Genomic DNA, 14,006 nt, shown 5'->3' on the forward strand with positions numbered 1-14,006 from the left:
AATCCTTGTTTGGTTCAGTTTCTGGGATTTATGTTTTACATTCATATATTTAATAAATGTTTCTGAATGTATTATCATAGATTCTTGAAGGGTATTTTTTAACTTCAAAATATTTCCAATTTCATGGATTCAATTTTTCTCCATAAGGAGGTTTCTTAGAGAATTGGGGTAACATTTTTTCACCCAACATCACTTATTCACCAACACTAACATTCAGAGTATTTTGGGGATCAAAATACTGTTAAGAAAACAATTTTAAATTTCGCACATGTTTAAGGATTTGTAATATTTTTACAAGCATCTCAATTTCTGTTTGTGTTGTGTGCTTGGAGACTGTGGTTTGGCCATCGTTCCTTATCCACATTCACTGAAGGTGTCGATCATAACTGAGGACAGGAGCCGAACAGCCAGGTCCCTTTAATGCCCAGGACCCTTCGGCAGCCATGTCAGGGTGTTCCTGCTCAAGCCGGGGTGGCTTAGCCCTTGATAACAGAAGATTCTGAGATGGGTGAGAAGTGGTCCACACGTGGCCACTGTCATTCCTCTGGCATAATGGACTTGGGCTCAGGAGGTCAAGCCCTCTTCAAGGAGCATGAGCTGAAATTGCTAAACTTTGGGAGTTTTCCGTGACACCCTTCAAAGTGCTCACGGTGTGGCATGGATCAGCTGGGGAGGGTTGATGTGGTTTTGCCCTGTGGGGTATCTATCTGTGTACTTTTGTCTGAGGGAGGCAACTGGGGCCACTTAGGCCGGCAGGTGCCCACTGTGATTGGTTGACATGATACCAAGCAACAGGATCATCCAGTCACCTTCAATGCAGGGAGGATGGCTGACAGGCTCCCTGGGTGACACTTCATGCAATCAGATGTCGAGTTGGACTGTGACATAGAGCCATGTGGCCACACTAAATTCCCCCCCACCCTTCCCCTGTCCACAACCGTCATTGTCTGTTCTTGCCATCCAGTGGCCACTGCCTCCACCATGGCTGAGGCTTTCTCTAAGACAACCTCTGAGGAAGACCAGAGCATCCAGGAGCCCAAAGAGGCCAACTCCATGACGGCCCAGAAGCAGAAGAAGTGAGGGCTTCGAGGCTCCCGTAGGCGCCATGCCAACAGCGGTGGAGATATCTTCGGGGACAGCTTTGCCGCCTATTTCCCCCGGGTGCTGAAGCAGGTTCACCAGGCCCTCAGCCTTTCCCAGGAGGCCGTGAGTGTCATGGATTCTATGGTTCGTGACATACTGGACCGCATCGCCACCGAGGCTGGTCACCTGGCCCACTACTCCAAGTGCGTGACCATCACCTCCCGGGACATTCGGATGGCCGTGTGCCTGCTGCTGCCGGGGAAGATGGGCAAGCTCGCTGAGTCTCAGGGCACGAATGCCACCCTCAGGTACACCAAAAGCAAGTGAGCTATCTCAGGAGCGCCCGAGCACCCGGGAAAGCCAAATGCTCTGTTCAGAACCACCACACGTGGCCCTAAAGACCAGTGGCCTGCCAAGGAGGGGACCCCACTGGAGATTGGGGTGGGTGGCACCGTTCTGGCTTGGGGAGCATGTGGCGTGTGGCCTTCTGCGGTTTTTCAAGCATTTTTCCCACAGTGCAAAACACTGTCAACTCCAATACATCTGTAGTGCAATATGCTCCAAGGAAAAGTAGGGGGTGTTTCCGTAATCGTGTTTCATGTCCTCAGTTTCCTAAATGGCCGTTTTTATCAGTTATCTTTCTAGGTTATCTTTGTGGTGATATTATCAATGTACTGATGTTTACCCTTTTCACTCTCATTCTCCTACAACTGGATGGTGGAATTTTCCAGAACTTCATTATGTGCGATATGGCAAGAGAGAAAGTGAATACGCTGATATAAGAAGCAAGGTAACCCTGCTAAAAGTGTTCAGCATCTTTCTCCCCATGAATCCATGTAAATAAGCAAACGAGGCACAGTTACAGTGTACATATAGCTAAATAAATTTTCAAGAATCCATTCGTTTTCCAGCTTCCCTGACTCTGAGATCACTATTGCAATTCATTCTCTTTTTGCACTGACAATAATCATTTCGTTTCTTTTTGAACAGAAACCTTCCTTCCTTCCAGATGTGTGTCAGTAGAATTACAGAGTGTCCACGGAAACAGCTCATGCCCTAGTGTACAGTGGTGCAGCCAATGAGTGACCTGAAGTCTATGAGCAACACTCATTGTCCCAATGTGGGACGAGTGACCGAAGCTGAACCCACAACAGCCTTCCTGTGATATTCCACGTGGTGGTTAAAGGCATGGCGATGTGATTCTTTACCTGATGTTTTTGTTTGCAGTGTTTGTAATCATGGTCTTTTAGGGATATGAATCCAAAGCTAAGATTAATATACGTTCCTTGACCCTAACATCAAGTTATACAGAGCATTGTCAGCCATTAGAAGAAGTCAGATAACGCTTATTTCCTCAAAAGATTGGCATATTAATATTCACGTTAATATTAATACAGGCTACCTTTCATTGTGCTCTCTTCTGGGTCCCAAGTCTTGGTATTTTTAGAATTTTTTTTTTCTATAAGTGTATTGCTGAATTTCAGAGCAGGTGCTGACTTACCCATTGCTTTCCTTTTCCATTGATTTCCAGTCGCCCGAGTATGTGGACAAGAGGACATACTCTGGGATTGCAACCCACAGGAATTTATTATGTTGTGCCTTGAAGCTCAATATGTGGCCATTTTTGTTAAATGTTTCCCGTAAATTTTGAAACATCTCATAAACAACCCTTCTCCTTCATATGTAGAAACCAGTAAAGGATGGCACTCTCAGTCAAACCACGAAGCAAAAGCTGGATAAATGACAAAAATCAAAATTTTCTTGAGCCCGTCAGAAGTGGGAAAGAACCACCCCAGAGGGACCCAACACATAGCCACATAGATTATTTCACCATTTAAAGAGGACCCCTTGGTCAAGAGGGAAAAGGGTTCGGGGCAGGATAGTAGCCAGAGCTTCCCTGAGTAGTGCAGATGGGAAGAGGGGAAGGTCACCTCCAGAGCTCCACTTGGGATCCATAGAGAAATGATATAGAACCAAGAAGTCCACTCACTGGGATTTGTTACTTTCTGTTTTTCCAGAATATTAGAAAAATATTATGAAAATAGTTGAAGAGAAATGTTATGAAAATAGTTGAAGCTGTACTTACTGCACAAGGAGACCAAGAAAAACTCCCACAAAATCAGCTGCAAGTAAATCCCTCTGGATGGTGCCGCCACATGTTCCTACAAGTCCAGAACAACCCTTGCCAAACCAAAGACACTTGGCAGAACCCTGTTCCTTTCTAGAGACAGAGCTGTATACCTGTTCCAAAACACCACATCTCACTCAGTGACTTATTTCTCATTATGCTAATTGTTTTGCTGTAAAGTGCCAATGTTTCTGTGAATTAAGACATACGAATAAATTTCTGAAGTTACCCTTGCATATGTGTGTAATTAGACAAGTCCTTTTGAGAAACCAGATCCATTGGGATATTTTACCCTGGAATATGTGTTTTCCCTTTGTAAATTCAGAAATCAAAGAGGAGGATTAGTAAAACAGGGTTAACAATGAAATCTGATTTGTTTGTGGGGAGTGAAGAATGAGGTGGCAAGGGGACTGATGTTGGTGAATTATAGGAAGAAAGAGGAAGGGGGTGGATTGATGCGAAGATCGGAAGAGGAAGCTCGCACATTTGATATAGCATTTCAGTGAGTGATTGAGCAGAAGGGAAACGTAGCGAGCAATCATGATGTCATGTTGCGACTTATAGGAAACACAAACTAAGGGAAAGAGCTTTGCTACCTAAACAACAAATAAGAAGTATCAATGTAGGGAAAATAGCATGAGTGGGATAAACATAGTCCAGTCAAACATTTTATCAGCTTTCCCTGTAAGCTGGAGTCCATTTGAAAACATAAGCAAGGACCCGAACGCAGCACAGAGAAAACTACATCAAAAAGTTTAAGGAACAATACCTATTCTAGGCTCCCTCGTAATGAAATCTCACTTGTTTAGATTTATCTGATTCTGCTCTTCTTCAGGATAGAATCTTTTGTTTTTGAAAATCTTCATGACTGGCCTCTACGTGTCATGGGGATCATGGAATGCTGTCCGATGGCGCAGCACAAGCTCCACTCGGATCCATGTCAGCCAGTGAGGCAACTGCAGCCGAGGGGCCACAGCCCAAAGTGTGATCAGGTCTCCCGGTCTGAACTAGGAAGAGTTAGTTGTCCAGGGATGTTCAATGGGAGTTGAAGGGGAAACCTGTGATTAGAGGGGTGTACTTCTTTGATTCCTCGATGGGTTGTATGATTTTAATGCTGTTGATGGAGGTGTATTCTATTAGTTTTCGAGGGCCGCTTCAAAAACATTCCAGGGACTGGCTAACTTAAACACTATTTATTTTTAATCTCACAGTTCTGGATACCAATTTTCACCTTTTGGTAAGGAGACCAATCCTGTTGGGTAGGGTCAAACCTCACAACTTCACCTTAACCAGATGGCCTGTGTAGAGACTCTCTCCGAATAAGGTCACATTCTAAAACACTAGGGGCCAGGACTTCTACCTGTGACTTTTAGGGAGACAGAACTCCATACATACTAGTACATATTCTGCATCCATTCCGCGGCACAAATTAACGTCCACACATAGAAAATATATTCATTTCATCACAACATCCCCAAAGTCTTAACTCACTCCAAAATCAGTTCTCCAGTATCTCACCTGATAATCTTCTATGTCTGGAATGGGTGAGTCTCCAGGTGTGACTCATGCTGAGGTGGGAATTCTCTCCACCACTGCACCTGCGAAGCTAGACGAGTTATCTGTTTCTGAAAGACAGTGTGGGACTGGTACCAGATAGGGCTTATCATACCAAAAGTAGGAAATCTGAAAAACTACTGGAGTTCGTGGACCTTAAGCACCTTTGAAACCTAGTGGGGGCAAATTCCATTAGATTCTAAGGATGGAAAAGATTCTACTTGGCCTCAATGCTCTGTCCTTCAGGCCCAGTGGGGTAACAGCTTTACACCCTAAGCCCTGGGCAGCGGGGTGGGGGATCTCCCCCCAGCCTGGGCTGCTGCAGCCCATCCCTCTGAAACCGAGGAAGTGGGACAAATGCCTGGAACTTGGGAGGTGACCTCTGTTTCTGGGACGAAGAGAGAGATGGCCCAGTCCCCTAGTAATGTGCCCCTGGTTCTTGGAGGCAGTGACGGCCATGCCAACCTCTGACCCAACTTTCTAGTCCTTCTTCACTGTCTCAAAAATGAAGAAACGGTCACAGCTGGGTACCTCAGTCAGTCCCTTTCTTGCCGGTACAGTCCAGGAACTCTAACAGCCTCCTTGCATTTCATCCCATCTTTTTCTGGTTCAGTCCATTCCGGCAACATTTTTTTGGTATAAAATTCTCAAAAATTTTTTGGCTTCCCATGGAATTCACATGAGTCCAGGCCATCAGGCAAGAAGTTGTCTAAAGATCTTTCTTGAATACCCATATCTCCCTTATCTCAATTCCTAACTTCTGCAGAGATGGTTGATTGGATCTGAGCCACATGTCTCTCCTCTTAGGCTAATGGTTTTCCGGGCACACCCTTGCACCTATTTCCAGAGCAAGGTGTCTGCATACTTTGAGTACCTTCTGAACCATCCAATGCTGGCTTCCTTTTCCTTAGTGCTTCCTTGGCTAATTTCTCTCTCTTCTCTCCCATTTAATATACAGATCTAGGAGAAACCAGATTAAATCCTAAAAACTTTTCTCAGTTTGCCAGTGTAGTGACCAAGGTTCCCCCTGCTCCTCTTAAGTTTCGCTGAAAACTGAAGTCACAAAAGGCAGATCCATAGGACATAAGGCATACCAACTTATACAACGTGTATCCCCGGGAGCCTTTAGTGTTAATAGCCAAAGACACATGGGAAATTATCTGTTTTTATGCCTTGGCTCAAAGGAATACAGACAGCCGTGTAGAAATATGATGGGACAAAAAGGCTATGATCTAATGCCAATAGACAGAGTGGGGGAAACCCGACAAGGCCTGTGTGTCTAGACTCCGCTTGGCCTGTCTGAGCACACAGTACTTCCTCCCGGATACGGGGCAGGACCCTCTCTGGAATGGCGATCTTGTGACTTCCTTTCAAACGAGATAGGTTAGATGATTTTTTCACAGACAGTTTTTACATGAAAATGTGGAAAATGTTACAATACATTTCTAGGTTTTGTGACTACCTTTAGAAAAAAGAGCTTCTGATTTCTTGGACCCACCTTCGGGAAGAGGGATTCTGGTCTTTATGTTTAGCCCCTGGGGTAGAATGGGACTGACAGACAGGAGGACCAAGAATGTCAGAGAAAATCTTTTTCATCTGAGACTACTTCTGAAGCCCTCATTTTGGGGTATTGTGCCCTGAGCTCCAACAATAGAAATCAGCTACATGTGCATGTTCATCACTTACAATTTCTACTTTCCTCAAAGACACTAGGAACACAATACAGCCCAAGCCTTTGCCACTGTAAAACTAGGATGGCCTTTCCTCATGCTTCCAATAACCTCTTCCTAGTCTCCATCTGAAAACACACCAGAAGCACCTTTAATACACATAGTTCTAGCAACATTTCGGTGGTCATGATATATGTATTCTCTAAGTCAGAGATCCTTTCTCTACAGCAAAGAACTCTTTCTTAACCCTCGTTTCAATGTCATTTGGTGTTCATATTTTCCCCCGCCATTTCCTAAAGGCACTCTAGGCTTCTTGTGTCGTGCATATCAAAACACTTCTGGCCTGTATGCATTACTTACTTCCAAGGCCTCTTCCAGTCTTTCGGATGTTCCTTATCACATCATCCCACTGCTTGGCAACAGAACCTCTAGTAGTTTGCTAGGGTCATTCTGACAAAGTACCACAAACCTGGTGGGATAAACAGCAGAAATTTATTGTCGTGGTTCGGCAGGCTGGAAGTCCAAATCAAAGCGTCAGCTGGGTTGGTTACTTCTGAGTAGTAAGAGGGAAGGATCTCTTCCAGGGATCTTTCCTTGGCTTGTAGGTGGCCCAGTTCTCGCCATGCCACTTCACATTTTCTTCCCTGAACACATGTCTCTGTGTCTGAATTTCCCCTTTTGGTATGCAAAATGCATACTAGTCATTTTGGATAGAGCGCACCCTAATGAATGTAATTTAACTTGAGTACCCCAGTAAAGGTCCTACCTGCAAGTAGGAGAGAGATGAGGGGTCAGGAGTCTAATAGTTACATTGGAGATAGAGGGATCTTAGCTTGCACACTCCTTATGGGAACCTAATGAACGACGATCTGTCACTGTCCCCATCACCCCCATATGGGAACATCTAGTTGCAGGAAAACAAGTTCAGGGCTCCCACTGATTCTACATTATGGTGAGTCGTAATATTATTTCATTACACATTACAATATAATAATAATAATAGAGATAAAGTGCACAATAAGTGTAATGCACTTGAGTCATCCCAAAACCATCCCCTCAATGACGTTCTGTGGAAAAATTGTCTTCCCTGAAACCGGTTATTGGTGCCAGAAAGGTTGGGGACCGCTGGTCTAGCTATCTCATGTTGGCAAACTGCAATCCCACGAATCATTTCTTATCTTAGCCTATGTCTGGGAATAGGGGCAATCTTTGGAATTACTTCTTCTCTGAAGAGGGTATGGCATCCAGTCGCTATTGAACTTCAGTACACTATTGAGAAGTCTAATTGTCAATGGCCAATAGATTGATCCTCTAAATTAACCCACTAAATTATGTTAAAAGGATTTTAGAGATTTGTCATTCTAACCGATTGATAAAAATGTTAAATATATAAAAAGATACATCATGGTGTGGCAGCTAGCCTTAAAACTTGGCTTGACAAAAGTGAAGAGCAAAAATCAGACCAAAACAAAGATAACCTCCTGTGTCTGCTCAAACTGCCCCATGTGGGAATAACAACAAAGGCCACTCCACCTTGTGACCTTCGAGTCCAAATTCTGCACTTTCGCCTCAACGCCGTGGGTTGCATTGCTAGTCAGGAAACCCGCCCTTCTTGGTTGGATATTGGTGTGACTTTTGGGGAGTATCTATTTCTTATTGACCCTTTTCCCTTCCTTGGATTGCTTTTGATTTCCTGTCTTCCTTCACCTGCGATGCGGGCACATGAGGCCCTTTGGCCTTCTTGTGGAGATAGCTGAGAATCTAAGATCCTAGAAAATTTGGTAGGACAAATATGTGGGTTGTATCCTGTGAAAGGCTAGCAAAACTTTCTTTTCTCTTTGAGCCGTCTGGGGTTTGGGGCAATTCTGGACCTTGTGAAATCTACTTTCCGCCCCTTTGAAGACACCTCAGGCATCCTTGGTTGTGTCATAATCTTGGTGAAACTTACTGGAACGATACCTTTACTTTACAGAAAACAAAACAAACAAGAAAAGGTCAAAACCCAGAAATATCAGCTGCTTGTCTTCTGCTGCTGCTTGTGGGCCATAGTGGCATCGGCCGCTTTCCGCTCCTTCGTGCTCAGGCCTTTGTCAGAGGTCGTCTCAGAGGAAGGCTTAACCATCTCAGAGGCAACTGCCAGTGGATGTGAGGAACAGACAATGATGGTTGACCACAGGCGGGAGGGCCTTTTATAGTCACCACATGGTTACGTCACAGGCCACCAACTCCACATCTGACTGAATGAAGTGCCAAGCAGGGAGCCTACCAGCAATCCTCCCGGCCTCAGAGGCAACTCGATGGTCCTGTTGCTTGGCAATCACAGTGGGTGTCTGTCGACATGCTCCCCGCCTCTCACCTGCCACGGAGCAGGTGCTCAACCCCGCCCACTCTCAACTAGGGCGAGCTCTGCATTCCACGCATTCTTCCACTCCTGTTCTGCGACCACTCCAGTTCCAAAAAAGCTCGGTGGTACTACGAATCCTCTCTAAATCATACTCCTCATCTGTTTATTCCTTATTTCTTCCTCCAGGAGCCCACTTTCTCTTGAGAAAGCTGCAGATCCTCGTTCAGCATGGTGCACCAGGGTTCCCAAAGACCTGATGTGTGAGGCTTCTTTGCCTTTTCATAGGTAAGGTGAGCACATAATTTCTTGTTGAATACATATGGGGGCAGCTTTCAGAGTAAATGCAGCACTATGAATCATCGGGCTGGGACAACAGGCAAAATCAGGACGCGTGGCCACCCTTCTAGGGGAAAGATCTGGGGATAGAATAAGGGCATCCTTTGGGGTTTGAAACACTAAAGTTCTTGGGTAATGAGACCAATTTACTTTTAATAGCTTTTTTTTTGTCTTCTCTTTGAAGTTCTGGTGACTTTATTTCCTGGAGGCAACTAGTGTGGCTAGGCTGCATTAACATGGGAAAATGACACAACATCGTGAGAACGTCTGTTTGGGTCTTAGGACTCATGTGAGCTAGTGGGACCAGACTCGACTGCAAGAGTGATTGAGGGCACGGGTTTGGGAGTCAGAGGAGATCTGGGTTCAGACCTCAGCTGTGCCTCTTACTGGCTGTATTGCCTTGCGCAAGTGGCTTGACTTCTCTGAATCTCAGTTTCCTCCTCTGTGGAATACAGATCTAGAAGGTGGTTGTCAAGATCCAGGGTGATGATGCAGATGGGGTGCCAGATACATAGTCTGCAACCAATGAATGTCGGCTGTACGTGGTTCCAATACCGAGATTCGTGTCCTCGGGCAATCACAGGTGGTGGGGGTGGGATCCAGTGCCAGACAGCTGTATGAACACGCTCTCCTGGCTACCTGGGCCCCATCTGTTTGCTTCGGGCTGACAGTGAGATAAGGGACAATGACTTTTCCCTCCTGAGCCACATGTTAGTGAAGCGGTGGAGATAATTCTGCTCTGAGTCCTGACGGGAAGTTGCTGGGGAGCAACTTTACAGTGCTCCTGGCTTGGGGCACTACCCACTCGGGGCTTTGTGGCAAGCTATTCCCCCTCACGGCCAAGGAACCTGGCTTCCCATACCACCTCCTTTCCTCCACCCACCGTCTCCCTATCTGAATCCTATTCACTTTTCAGGTCTTGGCTCAAATCCTGACTCCCCTGTGAAGATGTCCTGACCCTCCCAGCCTAGAGCCACTACTCCCTCCTTGAATCTCAGGATCTCCAACTGTGACATGGCCATACTATTTGCCACATCCCCACAGACGGATTGTGATGAGGAAGGAAAGAGAGAGTCCATGTAGCATGCTAGATGCGGTGTCTGGTGCAGGCCTGTGGTGAGTTCCCTGCCTCTTCCTCTTCCTCCCCTCTGACCCCCAGCATGCAGGCATGGCGGCCTTGATCACCTGCTGCCTTCTCTAGATAATCCTTGGGGATCATTCCTGTGCTAGTTGTCCCCTCAGTTGCAATGTCACAGACCATGGGGCCACATCTCATCCTTCCTCACCTTCCAGCATCCAGCACTACAATAAACACCATCGTAACCATTTTTCATTGGGCATCTTAGGGTACCATGTGGCAGGCACTCGGCTGTGTAGGTAATGCACACAAGTGTAGTCCTCACTCATTCCCCTCCTAGCTCTCTTCCAGGATGTGCAGGCATTGATTCTCCTTTGAGTTATATCAGACAGATTGTGTCAACCGCTACCAAGGTCGCATCATGAGTAAGTAGCCCTGACAGGCATCAAGTACTATGCTAGATTAAGTTTCTAATGAATGCCTGCGAAAGGGTGGTTGGCAGGAGGGACAGATGTAGAGCCCAGAGTACGACTGCCTGCCCCGTGCTTTTACCCGGCAGAGGCAGGCCTGCTTGAGAGAAAGCTGTACGCAATAAAGACATAGGATTCAGCGGGTCCTCGAGCTTAGGAAAGGGGATATAGTCGCTCCAGGACAGGGGGAGAAATGGAGAGGGGATGAGTCACGCTAAACCTCAAGGCAACTGTCCCAGGGAATTCCACAGTGGCTCCAGTATCCCCCAAAATAGTAGCTGATGACCTACCCACAGGCCATCCTCGAGATGAACTGTAGAACAAGCCCGGGTCAAGCGAGCCTCCTTGGAAGACATTTGTTAGCCTAGAAGATGTTGAATCCCTTGGGAGCCCACGATGGGCATTTCACTCCTACAGATCCGTGAGTGAGAACCAGGCCACAAGATCACCCATGTGACCTATGATGCAATGAGGAGACAGGCTCCACTGTGCTTAAGTGTCCCTTGCAAATAGAAGCCAGAGGAGCCGCACTCAGTGCTATTTATTCACCCTATGCCTAAGGTCATTGGGGAAGGTCCCAGACACCTTGTACTGGCATACTTGATGCCTTGGAGGGGCTGGCTGGAGGGCTGAGCTCAGCTGGGCCTCTGCACCTCTCCAAGGCCCCTCAGAGCATATCACTGTGGTGTCTCCAGCAGGAGAGGTGGGCTTCTTTCGTGGCAGCTCAGAGCTCTCAGACAGCCAGGCAGAGGCCATTCTAGTCCTCTGAAAGGTTACCTCTGGGACAGGCTAACGTCCACCATTCTCCATGTGTCAAAGCCATCACAGGCTTGTCGGGAGCCCAGAGGGAGGGGCAAACAGATGCGACCAATGGGCCAACGGGAAGAGCATTCAGGAATGAGCAGTCTTTCTGAGATGCGGCCTATTCAGCATACAATTCTTGAGATGCTGCTGGGTGGTACACATGGAGCATGTGCATAAAAGAAGAGGTGCTTTACTCTCTGGGTCAAAGCGGTAGGCTCTCTAATGGTTTTAGGTTGGACCTATCACTATAGGGTGACCTCTCCCATTTAGTGGATCCTCCTTCTCCATGCCGCAGTGATTGCCCTTAAGTGGCATGGAGTTTCTAACCATTATAGATGCTCTTTCTCCCTTCTGGGGCCCTGGCCATACATAAACAGACACACAGAACAACATTAAGGAGAATATGGGAAATCAGTACTTGTTAATAGTAGCTTGACTAGAACCTGGTCTCAATATCTGAGCCTCCAGATTAGGGGCCCCCGAGTGTTCCAAATTCCCTCATCAACCTCCTCTTTCAGGGCTCCCCTAAAATGTGGCACTCCAATGACAATCCATCCCTCTCTATGGAGCCTACGACAGCACACACCTCAGCGTTCTAGAGAGGACAGGTTTCAGGCCACCGGAGGAATTTAGGGAGTGACTACAGGAGCGACCTTATCCCACACTGTTTGAACAAGCACTGTGGGCCAATGGCCATGGACTGAGCCAGTGGAAAGTGGGGCTTGGACCCCTCTGATTGGACGTTTCCATCATCCCAACGATGCGTTAGTTCCAAGTCATGAAGGTGGGTATTTCCAGAAATAAAACAATATAACCTGGAAAAGAACAGACAGAATCAGATACATTAGAAGTAGTTGGAGTAATAACTTCAGTTTCTAGGGAGCTTGGAGAGGTATTGATTCTTGAACTTTATGATGTACTTGTGTCATCAAAAACACATACATTTTGTGGATGGGTGATACTAAGATATTTATTTATTCTTTTTATATAGTTTATATATATATATATATATGTTACATATATGTATTTTACATTATATATCTTTTTTAGTTTTTTCTTATGACTGGGTCTCACTTTGTCACCCGGGCTGCAGAGCAATGACGCCATCTCGGCTCAGTGTAGACTGGACAATCTGGGTTCAAGCGATTCTCCTACCTCAGCCCCATAAGAAGCTGAGACTGCAGGCATGTGTCACTGCGCCTGGCTAATTTGTGTGTGTGTGTGTGTGTGTGTGTGTGTATTTTTGTATTTTTGGTAGAGATGGGTTTCCCCATGTTGCCCTGGCTGATCTCGAATTCCTGAACTCAATTGATTCACCCGCCTTGGACTCCTGAAGTGGTAGGATTACAGGCACTGTGCCGGGCCCTAGATATTTAAATGATGTCCATAATATGGGTCCTGTTGTAAGAAACAACCTGGTTGGTTACGTCTGTCGTATTAATACATCTGTTTTCTAGGTTGACAGTTATACTTTGTCACAGAAGCAGTAAAACCATTTCCTTTTAGATTGTCCTTTCCGTAAACCTCACCATCAGATCACGAAGCCTCCCTAGGCGTCCTTTTTCCTCCTGCATCCGCTGAAGTCAACAATCAGATGTCCTCAACTCCCCTTGGATCTTCCACATCAAACCCCATTTCCCTCAACTCCTTCCTAAATTTCATTAGTGTCAGTCAGCTTTGAGCTTCCGGGCTTCAAGTCTACAGCCCGCTTCTGATGCATTTTTGAATGCTGTATGGACAAATACTGGCATTTTGAAGCAGTAGCAATGAGTATGACAGAAATTAAGTGATTTGTAGAGAAATTATGGTTTTTTTTTCCCTCTGATGTGCAGAGTTCTGTTTTGGAAAGTGTGCACATGCCCGCAGAGATCCTTTGGTTTCCAATAGTTTAAGACAAATTCAAGGCACCACCCAGAGGGATTGACTTGCAGTTGAATTGTGGTAGTTTCTCCTGGTCTGCTTAGGAAAAAAAAAAGTTTTTCCAAGTCGTTTCATGATACTTGCTTAATTTCCCAGAATAAAAATAAGTAATGATTCTTCTGAGGTGGCTCTGTATCCTAAATCTTCACCCTCATGATCCCAAGGAGAGTCCTGAAGGTATCCTGTCCCACCAGAATTCTTGTGATTTAGGTCTTAAAAATATAGACATGTATTCCCACTCCTTGATCAAACATTGCGCCCTTCATGCCTGGGCTACTCAGGGATGCTTCCCCTAGTATCCTCCCTTACCCCCATTCATTTACCTGACATCACAGGAGTCTACCAAAGTTAAAGCACCTTTGTGTTTTGTCTCTCCTGGAGGGTGCTAAGCTCCTTCTGATGGACTACAGAAAGGCGTTCATTTTTGAGGACTATCCAACGTTAGTCGCATGGTTTCTCTGACAGTGAAGTCCCTTAAAAGTTTGTACATGCTACTGAATGGTGGGGTTTACAAGTTATTATAAAAGTGCAAATGAAACACTTAACAAAATTACCCAAATCTAGGACTTTAAAGCAAATAGTCATACATTTCTGAGGATTGAAATCACAGAGTATCTTC

At 45.8% G+C, this 14,006-nt stretch overlaps 1 long non-coding RNA gene and 1 pseudogene across 3 annotated transcripts, besides 1 other annotated feature; both read left to right on the forward strand.

Annotated features, from left to right (window-relative positions):
• Positions 1-1,013: 1,013 nt before the first annotated feature.
• H2BW4P (H2B.W histone 4, pseudogene) lies at positions 1,014-3,447 on the forward strand (annotated as a pseudogene). Its single transcript, NR_003238.2, has 4 exons — positions 1,014-1,391; positions 1,815-1,873; positions 2,074-2,269; positions 3,102-3,447. The product of NR_003238.2 is annotated as a H2B.W histone 4, pseudogene (transcript).
• Positions 8,717-9,216: an enhancer, noted in NCBI's record as "H3K4me1 hESC enhancer chrX:103238205-103238704 (GRCh37/hg19 assembly coordinates)". NCBI's record gives its function as "activates a minimal SCP1, AML or CMV promoter by ChIP-STARR-seq in naive H9 embryonic stem cells {active_cell/tissue: H9 hESC(naive)}" and the evidence as "EXISTENCE:reporter gene assay evidence [ECO:0000049][PMID:30033119]".
• LOC107987334 (uncharacterized) lies at positions 8,841-12,351 on the forward strand. 2 transcript variants are annotated; one of them, XR_001755990.3, is made up of 3 exons: positions 8,841-9,069; positions 10,032-10,231; positions 11,986-12,351. It is a non-coding gene; the product is annotated as an uncharacterized LOC107987334 (long non-coding RNA). The 2 variants fall into 2 exon arrangements; XR_001755989.3 differs by having other exon boundaries at positions 8,847-9,064.
• The last annotated feature ends 1,655 nt before the right edge of the window (positions 12,352-14,006 follow it).

Source organism: Homo sapiens, chromosome X (genome assembly GCF_000001405.40).
Source record: "Homo sapiens chromosome X, GRCh38.p14 Primary Assembly".
NCBI classification, from domain to species: domain Eukaryota; kingdom Metazoa; phylum Chordata; class Mammalia; order Primates; family Hominidae; genus Homo; species Homo sapiens.